The 25,465-nt window shown below is 41.9% G+C and overlaps 2 protein-coding genes and 1 pseudogene across 11 annotated transcripts in view, besides 1 other annotated feature; 1 reads left to right on the plus strand and 2 right to left on the minus strand.

Moving 5' to 3' along the window:
* Positions 1-19,265, minus strand: part of ANO10 (anoctamin 10) — a 325,747-nt gene extending 306,482 nt beyond the window's left edge. For both annotated transcript variants that reach the window (NM_001346469.2, NM_001346468.2), the window contains exon 1: positions 19,188-19,265. The gene's annotated coding sequence lies outside the window, so the exon portion shown is untranslated. The remainder of the gene's footprint in view (positions 1-19,187) is intronic.
* Positions 14,953-15,821, minus strand: TUBAP3 (tubulin alpha pseudogene 3; annotated as a pseudogene).
* ABHD5 (abhydrolase domain containing 5, lysophosphatidic acid acyltransferase) overlaps positions 18,541-25,465 on the plus strand; it is a 43,502-nt gene continuing 36,577 nt past the window's right edge. For 6 of the 9 annotated variants that reach the window (XR_007095689.1, XR_007095691.1, XR_007095690.1 and 3 more), the window contains exon 1: positions 18,541-18,710. Coding sequence is in view for 4 of the 9 variants with exons in the window: in XM_047448243.1 (XP_047304199.1) it covers positions 18,664-18,710 (47 nt within the window). In the remaining 5 variants the exon portion in view is untranslated. Of the gene's footprint in view, positions 18,711-18,768; positions 19,181-25,465 lie in introns of those variants that run through there. The other 3 variants (NM_001355186.2, NM_016006.6, NM_001365649.1) reach the window with 2 other exon arrangements.
* Positions 18,781-19,260: a silencer, noted in NCBI's record as "silent region_14257". NCBI's record gives its function as "represses an Ori minimal core promoter by ATAC-STARR-seq in GM12878 lymphoblastoid cells {active_cell/tissue: GM12878}" and the evidence as "EXISTENCE:reporter gene assay evidence [ECO:0000049][PMID:35858748]".

Raw genomic sequence — 25,465 nt, forward strand, 5'->3', positions numbered from 1 at the left:
CCTGGGCAACATAGTGAGACTCCGTCTCAACAAAAAATTAAAAGAAATAAGTAAATTAACCGGGCCTGGTGCATGCCTGCTCTCCCAGCTAGTTGGGACACTGAGGTGGGAGGATCGCTTGAGCCTGGGAGGTCGAGGCTGCAGTGAGATGTAATTGCACCACTGCACTCCAGACTGGGTGACAGAGCGAAACCCTGCCTTAAAAATTAAAAAACAAACAAACAAACAAAAAACACCTTATTTCAGATGCACTTTCATAAATCATTATCATACTTTAGTCTAATAAACAGGTCTCTATCTTTCAAATGCTTAAAACGTGTATCCCCATCTGTGCACCTTCATCAAGTTATTACACCTTTGTCATCCATTTCTTTGTGTATTTTTAGTTTACTTGTGTTATTCACTTTTCCCTGTGAAACCTTAAGTTTTTTACCTGCCGACTCCTTTGTAACTTTCCTACATTGATTTAAAGTAGACAGTGGTATATTTATAAATCAGCTTTCAAGAAAAACAAAAAAGCCCTGATTTGAAGTGATTGACAATTTCTGTGGTATAAATACTCTCAATTTCAAAGTTCCAAGGTTTAATATCCAGCTCAAGAAATTCCTGAATATTTGACAATCAGCTCTCATGAACAGAGAAAAGTCTGCTCTAGCCATGTAGGTAAACAGTACGATTACTAGTTTTGCACTGACTTAGAAGAGTATTTTCACTAACTGCTCATTCACTTACACCATCATAAAGTTTTTCCAGCTGTGTGCATAGACAATCATGACATATTTCAGTGTGGAATCAATGATGGGTGAAAATTCTTCCCTCTATGCATCCCTGCAGAGCTAAGGCTAAATAAGCCAATTTGCTGAATTACTTAGAACCAAGTATTTATTGCTTCACAAACAGATTAGTTCCCACTTGTCAGAAAATGTAATAGAGCCAAGATGCCAATTGGTGTTTGTTTTCTGCCACAAGTGCAGACTAAACAGAATGGATATTCAGTAAGCCGTATTCAACTGAAGGATGCATTTTCAAAACGGGATGGGGGAGAATAAACAGGCAACATTAATGTCAGAGGAAATTATGGGTATGAACTTTTTTTCTGCTTCTGTATAAACCTGACCCTGCTACAAATGTTCAGTGGCATAAATAATGACAATAGATGGATTTTGCTCTTGGAAACTCTAATACAGAAAGGCAACTGACATTTTTCAACTTCAACATTTTGGAGGGCAATGCTTTTCCTGATTTATGGGGATGCCTATTATTTTGCCATGGATTTACCAGGAAAAAACAACCAGAAGAAAAATAAAAGTTTGAAGATCTGAAATAGAGTAGAAAAATATCTTTTTTAAAAAAACACTGATTCTACTGAAAATAAAAATTCATGGCTCTTCTATTGTATTAAATGAAATAGAAGGCAGAGGAAAAGAACACTATTAAAATTCTCTCCCCAAATCATCGCGACTTTAAATTTTCTGGGGCTGGGGAACATGACTGGAAATTGAATGGTAGTTCCTCTGGGCTCTTCCTTTACTCTTTCTTCTCTGCCCCTACCCCCAATGACACTAGAACTTGAAATTGTACAATCAGATAAAAGCCTGTTCTATGGCTTCCTTCTCAGTTTAATAAGTCAGAAAAGTCACATACGTCCAGAAAAGTATGTGAAGGACATCAGAATGGGAGCTGGTATAAGCTTGGGGATTATTTCAAGGGTCATGACTAATTTTTGATCACATGTTAATGGGAAGATTTAGCCCTGTTGTACTTCATGTGTGGGATATTCACCCACATGTCTACCTTCATGTGTGGGATATTCACCCATGAATTTTTAATCATGGAATTTCCCTCTGTCACCTAGGCTGGAGAGCAGTGGCATAATCATAGCTCACTGTAATGTTGAACTTCTGGGCTCAAGTGATCTTCCCTCCTTATCCTCCAGAGTAGCTGGGACTATAGGCATGCATCACCATACACAGCTAATTGTTTACTTATTTTTATTTTTTCGTAGAGATGAGGTCTCACTATGTTGTCCAGGCTGGTCTGAAACTCCTAGCCTCAAGTATTCTTCCTGCCTCTGCCTCACAAGTAGCTGAGATTACAGGCACCCATCACCATGCCTGGCCACGGGAGTGTAGACTTTTTGATGAAAGTTTTCCTGAGGTGACTGCCTCCTATAATCATAGTATAAAAACCAACAAGTTATGACCTCATCATTCTCAACACTTAAGACATATTTCATGCTTAGCCTTAAATAGAAATGAAAACAAATGTCACAGTTTGGGTTCTCTAAGAAGCAGTCCCTGAGACAAAGTTTAATGTTCAGGAGTGCTCTTGCAATCAACACCTGTGGGAAGGAAGGGAGAAAGAGGGACTGGGTAGAGAGGAAGTTGAACTGTGATATAGGTTTGACAGACTCAGCCACAGGGAGTTCTGGAGCAGAAATGGCTCAAAAGGATCATCCCAGTTTGAGTCAGAGTGGCTGGTCTTTTATGTCCCTGCCTCTATCCATCCATCCATCATTAGATGTGAGCCTCTCCTAGAAGGGCATGACCTTGGTGAGACGGCTTTCCATAGTGATGTGTTCCTGGAAGGGATTAAAAGCTGAAAGCTGTTCCATCAAAATACCCACTGCAGCTGGGGCAATAAATCCTTCCTTGAAGGGAAATTTGAACACCACATCTCTGTGTCAACAGCAATGAGTCTCCTTAACCTGAAAAATATCGATCATGTTTTACACATCTCACATACTAAATAAGAGCATAAGAGTCTACCTACTAATACATTCAAAATGATTTAAGAACTATTGTTTTTCCAATATATGGTGTTGGAACAATTGGATATCCATAAGCAAAAACAAAAACAAAACCTCGACCTAAACATCTCACTTCCATAAAAATTAACTCAAAGTAGATCATGGATTTAAACATCATGTGTAAAATCATAAAACTTTTAGAAAAAAACATAGGAGAAACACAGGATCCTCAAGACCTCAAGCTAGGCAAAGAGTTCTCAGACTTGATAGCAAAAGCATAATCCATTTTTAGAAATCAATAAATAGGATTTTATCAAATTAAAAACTTTTACTGTGCAAAAGTATGTGCCATATGAAGAGGATGAAAAGATAAGCTACAGATGTCAGGAAGTATTTGCAAACTACATACCTGACAAAGGACTGGTATCTACAGAATATAAAGAATTCTCAAAACTCAACAGTTAGAAAATGAGCAAAATATATGAATTGATACCTCATTTTGAAAATGATATACAGAGGGCAAAACATCACATGAAAAGATGTTCAACATCACCAGCCATCAGGGAAATGCAAATTAAAGTCACAATGGGACATTGTGACTTTAATCACTACACACCCATCACTACACACCCATCAGAATGGCTAAAATAAAAAAGCCATCAGAATGGCTAAAATAAAAAACAGAGACAACACCAAAGGCTGGCAAGGAAGTGGAGAAACTAGGTTGATCACACTTTGCTGGTAGGAATATATGGTACAGCTACTCTGGAAAATAGTTTGGTGACTTTTAAAAAACAAAACATGCAACTATTATATGACCCAGCAATTGTACTCTTTGACATTTATCACAGAGAAACTAAAACTTGGAATCACACAAAAACCTGTACATAAATGTTTTTGGCAGCTTTATTTGTAATAGCTGAAAACTGGAAACAACTCAGATGTCCTGCATCAGATAACTGATTAAACAAACTATGGGTATATTAAACCGTGTAATACTACTCTGCAAGAAAAAGGAATTAACTATGTTTATGTACAACAATTTTAATCTCCAAATAATTATGCTGGGAGAAAAGTCAATTGCAAGAGGTTAAATATAGGCCAAGTATGGTGGCTCAGGCCTGTAATCCCAATGCTTTGGGAGGCGAGGTGAGAGGATCACTTGAGCCTGGGAGTTTGACACCAGCCTGGACAACAAAGTGAGACCCTGTATGTACAAAAAAAAGAAAAAAAAAATAGCTAGGCATGGTGGTAAGCATGTGGTCCCAGGTACACAGAGGTTGAGCCAGGAGGATTGTTTAAGCATAGATGATCAAGGCCGTACTGAGCCAGGTTTGCACCTGCACTCCAGCCTGGGAGACAGAGTGAGACCCTGTCTCAAAAAAAAAATGTTTTTAAGTCATATTCTATTCTATAATGATTCTATTTAGGTAACTTTCTTGGAATGACAAAATTATAGGAATAGATTAGTTGTTGGGTTGTATGTGCAGGAGGGAAGTGGGTGTGGCTGTAAAAGGGCAACAAGAGGGATCTTGTCGTGATGGAAATGTTCCACATATGTATTGTTTCAGTGTCAATGTCCTGGTTGGGACATTGTAATATCATTTTGCAAAATGTTACCACAAGGGGAAGTTGGTAAAGGGTACATGGGAGCTCTCTGTATTATTCTTACAACTGCATGTGAATCTGCAATTCTCTCAATATAAATAGTCTAAAAAAAGACTTTGTGAAAAAAATCTTGAATTAAATTAACCAGATAATTTTTTTTTTTTACTTCCCGCTTTCTAAGTACATGGCCTTGATTCTAGTACAGTCAAGGCACACATCAGCCTGAGAAAGGGGGATGATTTCTATAAAAGGAATGCAAAACAAAATTAACAAACTACAGTACAACAGCTAATATTCAATTTCTGTCATTGAAACTATGATTTACGTTCTATCAAAAAGATACAGGCACTACCATGTTCATCACAGCACTATTCACAATAGCAAAGACACGGAATGAACCCAGCTGCCCATCAACAGTGGACTGGACAAAGAAAATGCGGTACACATACACCATGGAATACTATGCAGCCCCAAAAAGAATGAAATCACGTCCCTTGCAGCAGCATGGATGCAGGTGGAAGCCATCTTCCTAAGGGAATGAATCAACACAGAAACAGAAAACCAAATACTGCATGTTCCCACTCATAAGTGGGAGCTCACGCCTGTAATCCCAGCACTTTGGGAGGCTGAGGTGGGCAGATCTCCTGAGGTCAGGAGTTTGAGACCAGCCTGGCCAACATGGTGAAACCCAGTCTCTTCTAAAAGTACAAAAAACAAATTAGCCAGGTGAACCACATAATTTAGTAGATGAAATAGTGGCATTACACATTGGTGGGATAAGGAGTTATCAATGCATCGTGTGAAGGTGATTTGATGATCTATTGCTACCTAACAAACTACTTCAAAATATAGTGGCTTAAAACCATCACCATTTTATTTTCTCACAATTCTGTGGGTCAGTAATTCAAGCTAATCTGGGCAGACATTAATCCACACAATACTGGTTGGGGCCATTCACTCAGCTGCATTCAGGTGGTGGGCGGGCTGGGAATTCAAAGCCTTCACTCATAAGTCTGGTGCCTTGGTGCTCTGCACATGGTTTCTCTCTCCACATGGCTAGCAAGGCTTCCTTACAGCATGGTGGTCTCAGGGTAGTCAGACTTTTGCCATAGTATTTGACTTAGGAGAGGGAATAGATGAATTGGTGAACTCTGGAGCAACAGATTCTTAAGTTTCAGCATTGGAAATGACACAGCATCACTTCTGCCACATGCTTTTGGTCAAAACAAGTCACAAGTTCAGACTCAAGGGAAGGAAAAACAAACACTAATCAACATGAGGGGCCCTGAGGGGCCAATTAATTAACTACAGATGTGCCTTGACCTACCATGGGGTTATTTCCTGATAAACCCACTGTAAGTTGAAAATACTGTTAAATTCCAAGTGCATTTAATACACCTAACCTACCTAACATCATAGCTTAGCCTACCTTAAATGTCCTGAGCACTCTTACATTAGCCTACTGTTATGCAAAACCATCTAATACAAGGTCTATTTTATAATAAAGTCTTAAATATTTCATGCCATCTATTGAATAATGCAGTAAGAGTAAAAAACAGAATGGCTGTATGGGCATTCGAACGGTTTCTACTGAATGTGTATTGCTTTCATATCATTGCAATAAGGGAAGAGACCACCCCTCATATTGTCTTATCCCCACTTTCTGCCTCCAAAGAAAGAAGTAAAAACTAAAAGGCAGAAATGAAATCCACAGGCAGACAGCCCAGCGCCACACCCTGGGCCTGGTAGTTAAAGATCGACCCCTGACCTAACAGGTTATGTTATCTATAGATTCCAGACATTGTATGGGAAAGCACTGTGAAAACCCATCCTGTCCTGTTCCATTCTGATTACCGGTGCATGCAGCCCGCAGTCACATACCCCCTGCTTGCTCAATCGATCAGGACCATCTCACATGAACCCCTTTAGAGTTGTGAGCCTTTAAAAGGGACAGAACTGCTCACTTGGGGAGCTCGGCTCTTGAGACAGGAATCTTCGAATGCCCCTGGCCGAATAAACCCCTTCCTTCTTTAACTCCATGTCTGAGGAGTTTTGTCTCTGGCTCATACTCCTACAGTAAAGTCATAAAATTGTAATTTGAGCCATTATAAGTTGGGGACTGTATTTGTAAAATACTTTTCTTTATGGAAAATATTTTAAAAATTACACATTCAATTAAAAAAGGAGATATTAAGCTATTCAGATTTTCTATTTCATCTTGCCAGTTTTAGTAAGTTATGCTTTCTAAAGATTTTTTTGATACTGTGGGAGGGTGGAGCCAAGATGGCTGAATAGGAACAGCTGCAGTCTACAGCTCCCAGCATGAGTGACGCAGAAGACGGGTGATTTCTGCATTTCCAACTGAGGTACCGGGTTTATCGCACTGGGGAGTGTCGGACAGTGGGTGCAGGACAGTGGGTGCAGTGCACCAAGTGTGAGCCGAAGCAGGGCGAGGCATCGCCTCACCTGGGAAGCGCAAGGGGTCAGGGAATTCCCTTTCCTAGTCAAAGAAAGGGGTGACAGATGGCACCTGAAAAATCGGGTCACTCCCACCCTAATACTGCACTTTTCCAATGGTCTTAGCAAACGGCACACCAGGAGATTATATCCCGTGCATGGCTCGGAGGGTCCTACGCCCACGGAGCCTCGCTGATTGCTAGCACGGCAGTCTGAGATCAAACTGCAAGGCAGCAGCGAGGCTAGGGGAGGGGTGCCTGCCATTGCCGAGGCTTGAGTAGGTAAACAAAGCAGCTGGGAAGCTCGAACTGGGTAGAGCCCACCACAGCTCAAGGAAGCCTGCCAGCCTCTGTAGACTCCACCTCTGGGGGCAGGGCATAGCCAAACAAAAGGCAGCAGAAAACTCTGCAGACTTAAATGTCCCTGTCTGACAGCTTTGAAGAGAGTAGTGGTTCTCCCAGCACACAGCTGGAGATCTGAGAACGGACAGACTGCCTCCTCAAGTGGGTCCCTGACCCTCGAGTAGCCTAACTGGGAGGCATCCCCCAGTAGGGGCAGACTGTCACTTCACACGGCCGGGTACTCCTCTGAGACAAAACTTCCAGAAGAATGATCAGGCAGCAACATTTACTGTTCACCAGTATCTGCTGTTCTGCAGCCTCCACTGGTGATACCCAGGCAAACAGGGTCTGGAGTGGACCTCCAGCAAACTCCAACAGACCTGCAGCTGAGGGTCCTGTTAGAAGGAAAACTAACAAACAGAAAGCACATCCACACCAAAATCCCATCTGTACGTCACCATCATCAAAGACCAAAGGTAGATAAAACCACAAAGATGGGGAAAAAACAGAGAAGAAAAACTGGAAACTCTAAAAATCAGAGTGCCTCTCCTCCTCCAAAGGAACACAGCTCCTCACCAGCAACGGAACAAAGCTGGACAGAGAATGACTTTGACGAGTTGAGAGAAGAAGACTTCAGATGATCAAACTACTCCGAGCTAAAGGAGGAAGTTCGAACCCATGGCAAAGAAGTTAAAAACCTTGAAAAAAAATTAGACGAATGGCTAACTAGAATAACCAATGCAGAGGAGTCCTTAAAGGACCTGATGGAGCTGAAAACCATGGCACGAGAACTATGTGACGAATGCACAAGCCTCAGTAGCCAATTTGATCAACTGGAAGAAAGGGTATCAGTGATTGAAGATCAAATGAATGAAATGAAGCAAGAAGAGAAGTTTAGAGAAAAAAGAATAAAAAGAAACAAAGCCTCCAAGAAATATGGGACTATGTGAAAAGACCAAATCTACGTCTGATTGCTGTACCTGAAAGTGACGGGAAGAATGGAACCAAGTTGGAAAACACTCGGCAGGATATTATCCAGGAGAACTTCCCCAGTCTAGCAAGGCAGGCCAATATTCAAATTCAGGAAATACAGAGACCACCACAAAGATACTCCTCGAGAAGAGCAACTCCAAGACACATATTTGTCACATTCACCAAAGTCGAAATGAAGGAAAAAATGTTAAGGGCAGCCAGAGAGAAAGGTCGGGTTACCCACAAAGGGAAGCCCATCAGATTAACAGCTGATCTCTTGGCAGAAACTCTACAAGCCAGAAGAGAGTGGGGGCCAATATTCAACATTCTTAAAAGAATTTTCAACCCAATATTTCATATCCAGCCAAACTAAGCTTCATAAGTGAAGGACAAATAAAATCCTTTACAGACAAGCAAATGCTGAGAGATTTTGTCACCACCAGGCCTGCCCTAAAAGAGCTCCTGAAGGAAGCACTAAACATGGAAAGGAACAACTGGTACCAGCCGCTGCAAAAACATGCCAAATTGTAAAGACCATCGAGGCTAGGAGGAAACTGCATCAACTAACGAGCAAAATAACCATCTAACATCATAATGACAGGATCAAATTCACACATAACAATATTAACCTTAAATGTAAATGGGCTAAATGCTCCAATTAAAAGACACAGACTGGCAAACTGGATAAAGACTCAAGACCCATCAGTGTATTATATTCGGGAAACCCATCTCACATGCAGAGACACACATAGGCTCAAAATAAAGGGATGGAGGAAGATCTACCAAGCAAATGGAAAACAAAAAAAGGCCGGGGCTGCAATCCTAGTCTCTGATAAAACAGACTTTAAACCAACAAAGATCAGAAGAGACAAAGAAGGCCATTACATAATGGTAAAGGGATCAATTCAACAAGAAGAGCTAACTATCCTAAATATATATGCACCCAATACAGGAGCACCCAGATTCATAAAGCAAGTCCTCAGAGACCTACAAAGAGACTTAGACTCCCACACAATAATAATGGGAGACTTTTACACCCACCGTCAACATTAGACAGATCAACGAGACAGAAAGTAAACAAGGATATCCAGGAATTGAACTCAGCTCTGCACCAAGCGAACCTAATAGACATCTACAGAACTCTCCACCCCAAAATCAACAGAATATACATTCTTTTCAGCACCATACCACACCTATTCCAAAATTGACCACATAGTTGGAAGTAAAGCACTCCTCAGCAAATGTAAAAGAACAGAAATTATAACAAACTGTCTCTCAGACCACAGTGCAATCAAACTAGAACTCAGGATTAAGAAACTCACTCAAAACCGCTCAACTACGTGGAAACTGAACAACCTGCTCCTGAATGACTACTGGGTACATAACGAAATGAAGGCAGAAATAAAGATGGTCTTTGAAACCAATGAGAACAAAGACACAACATACAAGAACTTCTGGGACACATTCAAAGCAGTGTGTAGAGGGAAATTTATAGCACTAAATGCCCACAAGAGAAAGCAGGAAAGATCTAAAATTGACACCCTAACATCACAATTAAAAGAAATAGAGAAGCAAGAGCAAACACATTCAAAAGCTAGCAGAAGGCAAGAAATAACTATGACCAGAGCCGAACTGAAGGAAATAGAGACACAAAAAACCCTTCAAAAAATCAATGAATCCAGGAGCTAGTTTTTTGAAAAGATCAACAAAATTGATAGACCGCTAGCAAGACTAATAAAGAAGAAAAGAGAGAAGAATCAAATAGATGCCACAAAAAATGATAAAGGGGATATCACCACTGATCCCACAGAAATACAAACAACCATCAGAGAATAATATAAACACCCGTATGCAAATAAACTAGAAAATCTAGAAGAAATTGATAAATTCCTCAACACATACACCCTCCCAAGACTAAACCAGGAAGAAGTTGAATCTCTGAATAGACCAATAATAGGCTCTGAAGTTGAGGCAACAATTAATAGCTTACCAACCAAAAAAAGTTCAGGACCAGATGGATTCACAGCCGAATTCTACCAGAGGTACAAGGAGGAACTGGTACCATTCCTTCTGAAACTATTCCAATCAATAGAAAAAGAGGGAATCCTCCCTAACTCATTTTATGAGGCCAGCATCATCCTGATACCAAAGCCTGGCAGAGACACAACAAAAAAAGAGAAATTTAGACCAATATCTCTGATGAACATTGATCCAAAAATCCTCAATAAAATACTGGCAAACCGAATCCAGCAGCACATCAAAAAGCTTATCCACCATGATCAAGTGGGCTTCATCCCTGGGATGGAAGGCTAGTTCAACATACGCAAATCAATAAACATAATCCAGCATATAAACAGAACCAACGACAAAAAACACATGATTATCTCAATAGATGCAGAAAAGGCCTTTGACAAAATTCAACAACACTTCATGCTAAAAACTCTCAATAAATTAGGTATTGACGGGACATATCTCAAAATAATAAGAGCTATCTATGACAAATCCACAGCCAATATCATACTGAATGGGCAAAAACTGGAAGCATTCCCTTTGAAAACTGGCACAAGACAGGGATGCCGTCTCTCACCACTCCTATTCAACACAGTGTTGGAAGTTCTGGCCAGGGCAATCAGGCAGGAGAAGGAAATAAAGGGTATTCAATTAGGAAAAGAGGAAGTCTAATTGTCCCTGTTTGCAGATGACATGATTGTATATCTAGAAAACCCCATCATCTCAGCCCAAAATCTCCTTAAGCTGATAAGCAACTTCAGCAAGGTCTCAAGATATAAAATCAATGTGCAAAAATCACAAGCAATCTTATACACCAATAACAGACAAACTGAGAGCCAAATCATGAGTGAATTACCATTCACAATTGCTTCAAAGAGAATAAAATACCTAGGTCCAACTTACAAAGGACATGAAGGACCTCTTCAAGGAGGACTACAAACCACTGCTCAATGAAACAAAAGAGGATACAAACAAATGGAAGAACATTCCATGCTCATGGCTAGGAAGAATCAATATCATGAAAATGGCCATACTGCCCGAGGTAATTTATAGATTCAATGCCATCCCCATCAAGCTACCAATGACTTTCTTCACAGAATTGGAAAAAAATACTTTAAAGTTCATATGGAACCAAAAAAGAGCCTGCATTGCCAAGTCAATCCTGAGACAAAAGAACAAAGCTGGAGGCATCATGCTACCTGACCTCAAACTATACTACAAGGCTACAGTAACCAAAACAGCATGGTACTGGTACCAAAACAGAGATATAGACCAATGGAACAGAACAGAGCCCTCAGAAATAATACCACACATCTACAACCATCTGATCTTTGACAAACCTGACAAAAACAAGAAATGGGGAAAGGATTCCCTATTTAAAAAATGGTGCTGGGAAAACTGGCTAGCCATATGTAGAAAGCTGAAACTGGAACCCTTCCTTACACCTTATACAAAAATTAATTCAAGATGGATTAAAGACTTAAATGTTAGACCTAAAACCATAAAAACCCTAGAAGAAAACCTAGGCAATAGCATTCAGGACATAGTCATGGACAAGGACTTCATGTCTAAAACACCGAAAGCAACAGCAACAAAAGCCAAAATTGACAAATGGGATCTAGTTAAACTAAAGAGCTTCCACACAGCAAAAAAAACTACCATTAGAGTGAACAGGCAACCCACAGAATGGGAGAAAATTTTTGCAATCTACTCATCTGACAAAGGGCTAATATCCAGAATCTACAATGAACTCCAACAAATTTACAAGAAAAAAACAAACAACCCCATCAAAAAGTGGGTGAAGGATATGGACAGACAATTCTCAAAAGAAGACATTTATGCAGCCAAAAGACACATGAAAAAATGCTCATCATCACTGGTTATCAGAGAAATGCAAATCAAAGCTAAAATGAAATACCATCTCACACCAGTTAGAATGGCAATCATTAAAAAGTCAGGAAACAACAGGTGCTAGAGAGGATGTGGAGAAATAGGAACACTTTTACACTGTTGGTGGGACTGTAAACTCGTTCAACCATTGTGGAAGTCAGTGTGGTGATTCCTCAGGGATCTAGAAGTAGAAATACCATTTGACCCAGCCATCCCATTACTAGGTATATACCCATAGGATTATAAAACATGCTGCTGTAAAGACACATGCACACGTATGTTTATTGTGGCACTATTCACAATAGCAAAGACTTGGAACCAACCCAAATGTTCAACAATGATAGACTGGATTAAGAAAATGTGGCACATATACACCATGGAATACTATGCAGCCATAAAAAATGATGAGTTCATGTCCTTTGTAGGGACATGGATGAAGCTGGAAACCATCATTCTCAGCAAACTATTGCAAGGACAAAAAACCAAACACCGCATGTTCTCACTCATAGGTGGGAATTTAACAATGAGAACACATGGATGCAGGAAGGGGAACATCACACACCGGGGCCTGTTGTGGGGTCGGGGGCATGGGGAGGGATAGCATTAGGAGATATATCTAATGTTAAACGAAGAGTTAATGGGTGCAGCACACCAACATGGCACATGTATACATATGTAACAAACCTGCACGTTGTGCACATGTACCCTAAAACTTAAAGTATAATAAAGAGAAAAAAAATAAAGATTGTTTATTTTATCTAAGTCATCAAATTTATTGGCATAAAGCCATTTGTAGTATTCGCCTTACTATCTTTTGAATATGTTGGTAAGATCTCTAGTGACATCTTCTTTTCCATTTCTGATATTGTTCATTTTTATTTTCTTTTTCTTCTTATCAGGTATCCAGGCATTTATCAATTTTATTAATCCCAAGGAACCAACTTTTGTATATTTCATGGATTTTGCTTTTTCCACATATCAATATGCTCTGGAGTACTTCCATATTAGTATATATACATCTACCTCATTTTTCTTAATTGCTGCCATAGTATTCCATATTATGGAGGTACTAGACTTTATTTAATCATAAGCATTCTTATTAATGTCTTTCTTTTTTTTGACATTAGACTACTGAAGCAAACATCTTTTTATGTGTCTCTATGTGCACATGAGAAAGGTCAGACCCCCAGAAGTTAAATTCCTGGGCCACAGAGTATCTTAATTTTACATTTTAAAACAGATCTCCCAAACTGCTTTCCAAATGGCTGTGCCAATTTGCACTTCCACCAAATGGGTAGGGACATTCCCCACTGATTCATGGCCTTGCCAATATTTAGCAGCATCAGCCTTTTTTATTGATGAGCGAATTGATCACTGATGAGTCTGAGCATCTTGCAGCTGTTTATGGCTTGAGGGTTTTCTCCTCTGAAAAGGCTTTTTTCATCACTTTCTATTTTTTAAAATATATTGAAGATATTAAAGCCTTGGTTTCTTAACATGTTCAAAAAAGATTTTCTAATCTGTTCCATCTTTTGCAGTTTTATTGTGCCTTTTTTCACACGATGTCTTAGATTTTGATGTGGCTAAATTAATCACTCTTTTCCTTTATGACCTGGCGTTTGTGTCCCACTGAAGAAGGTCTTTTATTCTGGTTCTGAGAGTTCAATTAACGCTCATCAGTTAATCAGAATCTCTTGTCTCTGGAGGGCAGCTCTACCACTGAGTTCCAGGATCCAGCCCCCAGGGCACCATGCTCCTCTTCCTCATTCCTCCATTCAACTATGCGGAGCTCTCAACCTCTCATGCCTTACTCCAGACTTTCATATCTGTCAATCCTCTCCCGTCCCTACCCCACCCCATACACACCTTAAAAACAACTTGGAACCACAGAATACTAGAAGGGACCTCAAGAATTGTTTAGTCTAAAACTTTTATTCTTTTTTTTTGGAGACAGGGTCTCACTCTGTCATCCAGCCTGGGGTACAGTGACATGATCACAGCTTACTGCAGCCTTGCCCTCCCTGGGCTCAAAGGATCCTCCCACCTCAGCCTCCCAAGTAGCTGAGGCCAAAGGCACATGCCATTACACCCAGCTAATTTTTCACTTTTGGTAGAGATGGGGTCTTGCCACGTTGCCCAAGCTGGTCCTGAACTCCTGGGCTCAAGCGATCCACCCATCTTGGCCTCCCAAACTGCTAGGATGACAGGCGTGAGTCACCACACCCAGCCCAAACTCTCATCTTTATAGATGAGGATTAAGAGATGTAGACCTTGCTGTCCAGTATGGTAGCTACTAGCCACGTATGGCTTCTAAATTTTAACTTAATTAAAATTCAAAATTCAGTCACACTAGCCAAATTTCAGATCCTCCACAACCACATGTAGCTAATGGCTACTGTATCAGAGAGTGTGGGTCTAGAACATTTCCATCATTACAGAATGTTCTAACAGACAGGGTTGCTCTAGAGCTCATTACTTAAAGGGTAGTCTGCTGATTGGCAGTAGGAACACAGGCATAACTAGGAGCTAGTTAGAAATAGAGATCTCAGGTTCTACCTCAGACCTACAGAGTCAGAATCTACAATTCAACATGATCCACAGAAGTCTGCATGCAAATTAGAGTCCAAGAAGCCCTAAAGTCATGTGATTTTTTTTTTTTTTTTGAGAAGTCACTACAGCTGATTGATGTTCAGGCCCTTCCCTTGACCCAGCTACCACTTTCCCTTATCATCCTGTGTCCTTCTTATTATCTCCCTGCCACATTTGCTTTCTCAATATGTTTTATTACAGCATTTCTTTATAAACATTTACAGGCTGGGCATGGTGGCTTACGCCTATAATCCCAACACTCTGGGAGGTCAGGAGTTTGAGACCGGCCTGGGCAACACAGTGAGACCTGTCTCTACCAAAACCAAAAAATATTTACAAAGCAGCCAGGCCATTGAAGCCCTCATAAAACATCCCCTTCTCCATGCCCTCACTCTCATTCTGGTTTGTAAGTGCTTGCTTGGCAGGCTTGTGATAAAGGCCCAGGCCCCTGTGATGGTTGTGGTATTGCTCAGCACTTTGCCTGGGGAACTACTATTGGAGGGCTGGAAATTAAAGCCAACCTGAAACCCAGTGGGGCACCAGTCATCAACCAAGTGTATGGCACACTTGGTCTTGGTGGGACAATGGCAGCATTCAGTCTTTAGGCTACAACCCTGGGGCAGAACATGCAGAGCAAGCTCTGTACTTGCTTTGGTCAGTGTCATATCTGGCCATCTGATTGGAGAGTACAAAGTAGGTACTGGCGATCTCCAAATGTAAGCACTGCTCAACCAGGTAATTGGTTAGTAGGTCACAAAAAGGAAGTTAATTTGGAGGTAGGGGACCAAGCTGGCCTTAAACTCTGAGAGGTCTGCTTTCAGGGTACCATCAAAGTTCAGGGAGGTAGTGATGGAGGAAGTCTGGTCCAAGCAGTGGTTAAAGTATGTGGGGCCCTGGGGGTATAGGTTGCAATGACATGTGTTGGTCCATTGTCTCCCAAGAAGACACAGTCCAAGGGTTCCAGGGTGGCACGGTGGTCAGGATAGAGTTGTAGGGTTCCACCATTGCTGGCAACACCCAGGGGATAGGTGGATGGCCAATTCTAGCTTGGATTTCTTGCCATTGTTGAAGATGACTCCATCAGCAGCAAGGTGAAGCTAGAACAGAGCTACTCCCAGAGTTGAGGAAGATCATGAAGTCCTGTAGTCCTATGCACTGCTTGTCAGTTTCTGCATAAACTCTAGTATTGGATCAATGGTCTCTTTCTCTCTTTTTTTCTTTCTTTTCTTTTTTTGTGACTGTGCAGCAGGCACAGGCATCTTTGAGAGCAGACTCCAGGTCCATAAAGACCAAAGCGCTACAGGAGTTGCTGCAAAATCCTAAGGTTTCATTACTGGACTCAGTACCACTGGGCTTGCACTGTGTTCCAGGCGGTAGGGTCTTCAACAGACACTCTGAGAGGTGGGATTGTAGGGCATCAGTTTCTGCAGACACACTACAAGTGTCTGGCAACACTATTGTGGAGGCTAAAGTAACTCCATCTCAGATGCTAATCCACAATGTTGATTTCTGAGTAACCCCAGTTTTGGGAAGGCCTCCAAGTTTTCTACTTTATCTATTGTTCCTTGTATAAGAGCATGTGACAGGCTGTTCTTACATTGTTATAAAGAAATACAGCTGGGCGCGGTGGCTCATGCCTGTGATCCCAGCACTTTGGGAGGCAGTGGAGGGAGGATCATTTGAGGTCACGAGTTCAAGACCAGCCTGGCCAACATGGTGAAACCCCATCTCTACTAAAAATACAAAAAATTAGCTGGGCGTGGTGGCGGGTGCCTGGAATCCCAGCTACTCAGGAGGCTGAGGCAGGAGAATTGCTTGAACCTGGGAGGTGCAGGTCATAGAGAGCCAAGATCATGCCACTGCACTCCAGCCAGGGCAACAGAGTGAAACTCCGTCTTAGAAAAAAAAAAAAAAAGAATTACCTGGGACTGGGTAATTTATAAAGAAAGGTTAATTGGCTCATGGTTCTGCAGGCTATACAGGTGCTGGTATCAGCTTGGCTTCTGGAAAGGCCACAGGGAGCATTTACTCACGGCAGAGGGCAAAGCGGGAGCAGGCATCTTACATGACTAGAGCAGGAGCAAGAGAGTGAGGGGTAGGTGCCATACACTTTTAAACAACCAGATCTCACAAGAACTTACTATTGCAAGGACAGCATTAAGGGGATAGTGCCAAATCATTCATGAGAAATTCACCCCCAGAATCTAATCACCACCCATCAAACCCCACCTCTAACACTGGAGATCACAATTCAACATGAGATTTAGAGAGGACAACACCCAAATTGTATCAGAGCACATACTTACCTACCTGCCCTTAGGTCAAAACAACCTTAGTCTGGGAGGGTAACAGCACAGAGATTTACCTGTCTTGCTGCTGTCCAAGACCATGCTTCTGTCCGTAAGTTCCCTAATAAATCACCTTTTGCTGACAAGCTGGATTTGTCTCCTTCATTCTTTAGTTTCTCAGCTCCTTCTGTATTTGGAGGTCACTTTGAATATACGGCCCTTTCATGAAACAACCAGGAATTCCTGTAAAAATGTTTTTTATATGTTCTGGTCTTCCCTAAAATATTTTATGAATTAGATCAAACACAATAAAAAATGTATTAGTTATTACTATGCCTAAGAGATTATAAGTGGCTTTCCCCCCTCTAAATTACAGAAGACACCATTCCTATCCTAGAGGACTTTCTCGTGTAGTTGGAAAGATATTCGATAATGTTTATTTAAAAGCTGTAACAATTACACAAGGCTGAGAACCTGAGAGCTAGATGGGTGATAAAGACAGGTTTACAGTGGGGCTCAGAGGAGAGAAAAAGAGGGAGGAGAGTCAGGGAAGGAGAACAATGAACTGAGTCTAAAATAAAGGTTAATATATTCGCGTAGGATCTATCAAAACAGGAGCAGTATTTCAACCCATTGTTTTCAAGCACCTAGAACAAAGTGAGCCCATAGTAGACACACACCAAACATAAATGGATGAGTAGTAGTGGGTGGCAGAATTCCAAAAGCAGGTTGCACCTGATTGCTAAAAGGCTTGAAAACAGGTCAAGAAATACTGCTATTTAGGTTAGTCATTTCACCTCAATAACTCGAAGTACCTAAACATAGACTTTTTTTTTTTTTTTTGAGACGGAGTTTCGTTCTTGTTGCCCAGGCTGGAGTGCAATGGTGCGATCTCGGCTCACCGCAACCTCCGCCTCCCGAGTTCAAGCGATTCTCCTACCTCAGGCTCCCGAGTAGCTGGAATTACAGGTATGCGCCACCGCGCCCGGCTAATTTTGTATTTTTAATAGAGACGGGGTTTCTTCAGCTCAGGCTGGTCTCCAACTCCCGACCTCAGAAAATCCGCCCGCCTTGGCCGCCCAAAGTGCTGGGATTACAGGCCTGAGCCACCGCGCCCGGCCAACACCGACTCTTTTCACCCTCCCAGGTATCTAGAGAGTCGAGTGGGAGGGAAATTGCTGGCTCTGGCCACTACAGTAACATCAGCACCTAGAGCAGTGCTCAACTGACTGAAGGCTCCTGTGAGTCGCCCTCTCCCCCTGGCCCCCCAACCCGCGGGGAAAGGCTGGCGGGACGCCACACAGCACCTCGATTACGCCATTTCATTTGCCACTGCACCATCTATCGGACACTAGCTAGGCTCTTCCAGGACCGGACGCACCTCCGTCCCCAAGGTGCCACCTGACAGCCAACACCGACGGGGTGATGCATGAATACAGTCATTATTCAAATTAGCTAAAACACCTAACTCATTCGGGTGAGTCTCGCCAGTCCCTCTGGGCTGACTGTCCCGCCCCGCGCTTACACCCGGGAGCGTCGGGCGGGAGAACTAGTGCATGCTGGCTGGGGATGGCGGACGCAAAGCCGGAGGCAAGGCCGCGCACGCGCAAACGCGGGCGCGCCGCCGGGCCGTGCTAGTGCGCGGAAGACGCATGCGCTGGCGGCCTGCGCCGCCTTAAGTGCCGCGCCAGCCCGGGGCGGCCCAGTCGGCCTGTCAGCCGGCTTCGAGATAAGTCCCGGCGCTTGCGCGGCGGCGGCTATGGCGGCGGAGGAGGAGGAGGTGGACTCTGCCGACACCGGAGAGAGGTAAGCGCAGCCGGCAGGGGGCTTCGTGTGTCTCCGGCGCGCACCCTCCGCGCGGGCCGGGTTAGGGCCCAGCGGGCAGCACCAAGGAGTCGCCGCCCGCCTGGCGACGACGGGCGGCTTCCTCGACCCTCCCCGGCATGAGTCCGCGCGGCGCCCAGAGGCGTCCCGGCGCCGCTCTGCCTGGGAGAGGCTCCCCTCAGCGTCGGGGCCCCGAGGTGTCTGAGCCGGACTCCGGCCGCGCCGGGAGGCCGCCTTGACCCCGCGCGGAGGGTCCGCCCCGTTGTTGTATAAGCCACCCCGCGGGCCGGCGACGGAGCTGGCCGCGGCGGCCGCACCGGCTCGGGCTCTGCCAAGGGACCCGGCCTGCCCCAATGCCGCCGGCGGGCGGTGCCCGGTCGACCCTGCACCTGACTGCGAGGCGCGGGAAATGACCGGGTCTGTCAGCCTCCCATCGCGGCTTCCGTCTACAGGTACTACCTGTGCTCTGTCCAGCCTCAGCCACTGGACGATCCTTCCCGTAGCCGTAGGAAGGGGCGGCGCTTCCTTGGAGGGGATATTAGAGGCCCGAATTCGCCCGGGAAGCGGCGGGAGGGCGGGGGTGCCGGGAAGGAGGGAGGGGAGAAGGAGTGAGGGAAGTGGGTGTATGGCTGTGAGTTTCAGATACTTCATAGAAAGAAAGTTAGCCCTTAAGATAGAGATACACGTTCAAATGTCATAATTCATCTTTCGGATGAAGGTCTTTGGCTTGCAAGCTCCACTGTCCCTTATTTGTTTGCGCTTCTGGGATTATTCTGGCTTTACTGGCGAAGTGTGTGTTGCATGTGCCTTAGAAGAACACACATAATGTATAGGAAACTGTGGAAGTTGGAGGGCAGATGTCTAATGTGAAACTTTTTTATATACAGGTATAGTGAGTTTATTCTTTTCTACACCTAAATGACTTCTTGCACTTGTTAGTAGAAGAATAGTAGTTAATGAGTGGAATAATTAAATTGTTATGGAGGTTATTGCCTTGTTTCTCAAGGCCTGTCGTTTGTATTGGAAAGTAAACTTCCCCCATATATATTTAATTTTTTGACGTCGGTTCTACTTCAGACGTCTGGAGAAATTTGCCTAGGAAACATAACCTAAATGATAGAATATGGAGTACCATGAAGACAGGGATATTTGGAAAGATGTCATGGGGAAAAATTGTGAAATATTAGAAAGGAAGTTATTCTCTTGAGTTTTGTTTATTTGTTGAGGTTTGTTGATGAACTTCCTCGTTGCACTGAGGTGAAATGTTGAATGTCATGTGGACGCAAGTAGGAACGTAATTGGTAGGTTGTGTTCTCATCTTGTTTGTCACAACATTTTTGACTCTTGACACTACTTTCAGGTGGACTATTTGGTTTTGATGTAGTGGGGCCTTGGAGTCCAGGACACAATCGTGAAAGGGTTTTATGGCTTGGAGTGATGGTTGGAGGTCATTGGAGGTAGATGATTAAAAAATCCTTAGCAGCTGATCAGCCATAGTTTCTAGACAGAAGTGGGCTTCGCTGGTATTCTTGGCAATATGCTTTAGCAGTGTCCAGTGACTATCCCCAGAAGTGATCCTGTTAAATCCAAGGTTGCCCCTGTGTGCTGGGTATTATTGTTCCCATTTTGCAGTTGAAACTGCCACTGTAAAGGCTGCTAACAGCCTGCCAGCAAGTAGCAGGGCTGGATTGGAACCCTTTGTGGAACCCTTTGAGGTGTCTGGATTTAATCTAAGGTGCTTACCCTGTATCCCTGCTGCCTGTCACTGGAATTGGGACTCATGTGGGATGTTTGGCTCTTGTTTGAATACAGTTCCCTACCCTTAAGACATTTGAGGTTTAGATAGGGAGATAACATTAACAAAGGAAAGTTATAAAATGGTCATCTGATGGCTTTTTGGAGAATATGATTCTTGTCCTTTGCTTTGTGGCACTTAGTGAAGACAGGCATACTGGGATCCATTTTGCTTTCAACATCCAACCCCTTTCAGTTGCAATACAGTTGAGAAAGCTAAATGTAATGAGAGTAGAGTAGACTTCTGTGAATTGCTTTAAGTTGTCCTAGAGAATGATTTAGTGTCAATTGAGTTGAGAGAAAGCTGTCACAGAATTGCTCAGTTGCAGGGTAGACCATAAAAGAGGTGATTTGCAGTTGTGTGCTGGAGTTGATTTGTACCAGCAAGCCATTGCTAAATTTTCAGGAATTTTGCCAACGGTTGGCAGCTTGAAATTGGCCATGGTGGGAGTATTTACACCACGGAAATCATCAAATGCTATAAATAAGGTATAAATAAGGGATTTTTCTCTCCCCTCCCTGCTTCAGTTTGTTTGCCAGCTCCCCACTGGGTTTACATTAGACTGTGAATGTAGGTCTTTGCCTTGGAGATAGGAGAGTGGATTTCTCTATCTAATCTTTTTAAAAACTGGCAAGATATGTGCCTTTCTCTCTGCTGCCTTCTCTCCTTCCCAAACCTTTGCCACCTGATATCTTAAAAATCACAAAACTTTTCACTGCCACATCCCAATGGCCTTCTAGTTTTTTTCAGTACTTCTTCTTGGGTCCTTTTTGGTGTTTGTTACTGTAATGATAGCTACTACTTTTTGAAACTCTTATTAGACATTCTAGGTCTTAATGACATTTTGCCTTTTATCTTACCTTACCTGACCAACAATAACTTTTATTAGTTTCTCCTCTTTTTTTTTTTTTTGCATTCTCTAAATGTAGTCATTTTCCAAGATTCTGTCATCATCCTTGTTTTTATTTTTCATCTTGTTTACTCAAACGTGAACTGTCTTGTCTGTGGAGATGACTCAGATCTCATTTTCTTTCTGGAGCCCTCTTCTGTACTCTGGTAATGTTTCTAATTGTCAGATGTTTGTGCCTGATTCCTCAAATTTAACATGTCCAGACCATGATCTTATTTTTACCTTCCTGCTCCTAAACTAAACGATATAAAAAGCTTAGTTCTGGCCGGGCGCCGTGGTTCACGCCTGTAATCCTAGCACTTTGGGGTAACACCGTGAAACCCCGTCTGTATTAAAAATACAAAAAAATTAGCCGGGCAAGGTGGCGGCGCCTGTAGTCCCAGCTACTCGGGAGGCTGAGGCAGGAGAATGGCGTGAACCCAGGAGGCGGAGCTTGCAGTGAGCCGAGATCGTGCCACTGCACTCCAGCCTGGGCGACAGAGCAAGACTCCGTCTCAAAAAAAAAAAAAAAAAAAAAGCTCAGTTCTTCCTCTTGAAACATTATATTGGCTTAATCATTGCCTTGACTAATTGTTAGATTATTAGTTTAATCTCATGGTTCTGTAATTCCCACTCCTGATTGTGAGTTACTAAAAAAAATCATATGGAGAGGTGATTTTATTAAAACTGATTATTCAGTTGAGACCTAGGATTTTTAGTTTTATTCTCTTTATTATCTAGTGAATGAACTTATTTTAGAACTGATGCAAAGAAATGTCACTGACTTGTTAAGTAGAGTACACCTGTGGCTTCTTCAAGTGTGTTTGATAATGAGGTCATATAAGTGACTCTAAAATGGTTTGTTTACTGTGTGAAGGAAGGTAGGAAACAATGGGGAGATACGTGTTACCAGCACATGGCTTGTCTAAAACACTTATACTACCAATCTGAGTCTTTAAAAGTTACAGGTTGGGGGGGGAGGGGCAGTTAAAACAGTATTAATTAATGTGTTAACATATATTAGAGGGCCTGGATTGTCATTGATCTAATAGTGATAATTTGAATCACTTAAGTATCATTTATCCAAAATAAAATGGCATGTTAGTCACTTAAATTGTAGCTGTATGAGACCATATTCTTTTTTTTTTGTTTGTTTTCCAGAGACAGGTTCTTGCTCTGTCACCCAGGCTGGAGTGCAGTGGCACAATCATGGCTCACTGCAGCCTCAACCTCCTGGGCTCAAGCAATCCTGCCACCTCAGCAACTTGCCCCCCAGCCCCTGTATTCCACCCCCCCAAGGTTGCTGGGACTATAGGCATGTGCCAGGCGGCTGGGACTACAGGCATGTGCCAGGCAGCTGGTCTTGACCTCCTGACTGAGCTCAAGCAATCCTCCCACCTCAGCCTCCCAAAGTACGCTTTTTTCTTTTCTTTTTCTCTTTCCCAAGAATAGGATTTAAAAAGTCAATTCCCAAGAAAGGTCTTTATTTACCCAAGTGTTATAATTTCCAATTTGGATGTTTTTAGTCATTGGTTGAGGAAGTATCTCAGATAAATATAAATGTAAATATAAATAAATGTATATATTCATACCTGTAATTCATTTGGATATTTATAATAAAAATCAAAGCCTCATGGTTTCTTTAAATGAGATAGAGAGCTGTGCTTAGGTTTATCAAGAGCAATAAGTTTATGTGATTTTTCTCTCTCAACTACTAGAATAGGAATGGAGGCCATTTTAAACAAAATTTTAATATAATGAAATCCTCTTTACTTATAACCTAATTAGAAATATTAAGTGGCCAAGAGTGTATGGAAACTGGCCAGATTTCTGCATATTTTCTTCAGAATACTTCGAAACCTCTTTCACTGTTTCATAATGTTTATAGATTGTGCAATTCAGGTTTAGTAATACTGTAGATAGACAGATGTGTTAAAGAACAAAACAGAGATTACCAGGAAACTTAAGTGTTGATAGTATGGAGTATAAGTATGACATAATATTTTTTTAGAAGGATTACGTAAAAAGTTAATGGAAAAAGTGGTGTCTATCTCTCACTCAGGATACTTAAAGTCAGATTCTTAGGTAAAATATACTCTATTAATATGTTAAGCACATCTTACTTGGCTTTCCTTAGAATTGTCACCTCTGATGTGATCTTTTATAACTTTTCTTACTCAAAAGTCTGCTCACTAAAAAGATTCTTAGTTTGCACTACAATGGTTGTAAAACAAGAATCCTTTCTTTTTTTGTTTTTGTTTCTGTGATTAGATGCTTTAGGGCTTATATCCTTTGCCTTGCTAATAAGGTAAGTGCCCAACTGATGGGGCTGTGTAGAAAACTTTTTGGCTTGCATTGGTAAGCTTTCCCCATGTCATAGATGCTTACTATTAGAAAGCTATAGTTCCTGTGGTGAATGACTTCTCTTTGTATTACAGTTGACACTTTGGTCACTGTTGAATTTAGGCCTCAGTGATGGATGATAGTGTTTATTGCTTGTCTCCTTAAATAAAATAGAGAAGTTAGGTTTTGCTTTTCTATTTATTTTCCAAAGCTATGAGGAAGAGGCATTGAATCTAGTTTACTGTTTTATAGGTGGGCTGTGTGAATTTAATTTTTGCCTTGAATTTTGTGACCTCAGAAGAATGGCAGAATATCTGACAAGCTTCAGTCCTGTGTCCTTAGTTCCAGTCTTCTATATACTAAACCTAGGAATGCTGAGCAACACTGAATGGCATAGGATACCACTGGGGAGGGGGCAAAGGGTCTCTTTGAAGGTGAGATTAATTTATCCCGAAGACAGGAGGTAGAGTTGGATGGGTAAGTTTTAAAGGGTTGAAGCAATAGAGGTTGCAAGGTAAGGTATGAGACCTTTGAACAAACAGGAATCAACTAAAGGGTGGAAAAGATAAGGCCCTTGCTTTTTACTCATTGGAAATGTTCCTTGAAGCCTATTATGTATATAACACTTAATCCTGTAGAGTGTCTCAAAGAAGCAGAGGATAGTTTCTGTAAAACATTTAATCATCTGGTTAAAGTGAAACTGGACAGAAGCATTATCAGGGCTTAGGGGAAGAGTGCTATCTTTACAATTCCATTAAGAGTAAAAATATCTTGCTATGTTTTGTTAAATATATATTTTTCTGTTAGAAAAAAACCCACTTTAAAAAATCACCTGTTTTGATGAAAATGCTTCTGTGAAAACCTGAAGAGAGTTGGTGCCTCTTCTTATGGTTGAAGATCCCTACTTTTTAATGTAAGCTTACAAACATGAAAACATGTTTTGCCCCTTCTCTGAGTTGAGCTGGTCACTAGAAGGCAAATCCATGGACAGACAGTCCCATTGTTTGAAAGCTGGTTTTGTGGTAAGTGGTAAGTTGGTGGAGGTAGGCATGATTCTTCCATTACAGGCTGGTATGTAACTTTTTAAACACTGGTGCTTTGTACATAGTAGGTATTCAGTGTCTGAATTATTTTTTGAGTGTCGTTTTTTAAAAAAGTATCCTTTTTTAATGCAAAGAATGCATTTGTGTTTTCTTTGCCCCAGTTTGTCTGTGATATCAACTGGAGCAATAGTAGCTTATACTTCATTTCACTGTAATTTTTTTTAATTGACCTCTGATTCTCTCTGGCAAATAATTGTGATATGGTTCGAGGGATGTTTGTTTAAGACAATGGATGAGATTGAGTTGTAAGTAATTTCTTGTTGGTACTAGTTCATATTTTTATGGTTAAATATAGACCTAATGGCTGGTCAAGGACAAAAGAGCTTCACCTTTAACCTCTAAAAATCATGAGTTCTTTTATTTTAATGGCCTGTGTATTAGTCCATTCTCATGCTGCTATAAAGAACTACCTGAGACTGGGTAATTTATAAGAGCTGTGCAAAGCCATAGAGACATGTAATCATATGAAATTTTGAGAGATATGAAGTACTGGAAAAAGTACAATATATGAAAAGAAAAGATGGGATGGAGGTAGGCTGTGGATGGATTGCAAAGTACCTTCTGTGCAGGTCCAGGAAAATATAGACTTATCCTGTAGGTAATGGGC

This window comes from Homo sapiens, chromosome 3, assembly GCF_000001405.40.
Source record: "Homo sapiens chromosome 3, GRCh38.p14 Primary Assembly".
Taxonomy (NCBI): Eukaryota; Metazoa; Chordata; class Mammalia; order Primates; family Hominidae; genus Homo; species Homo sapiens.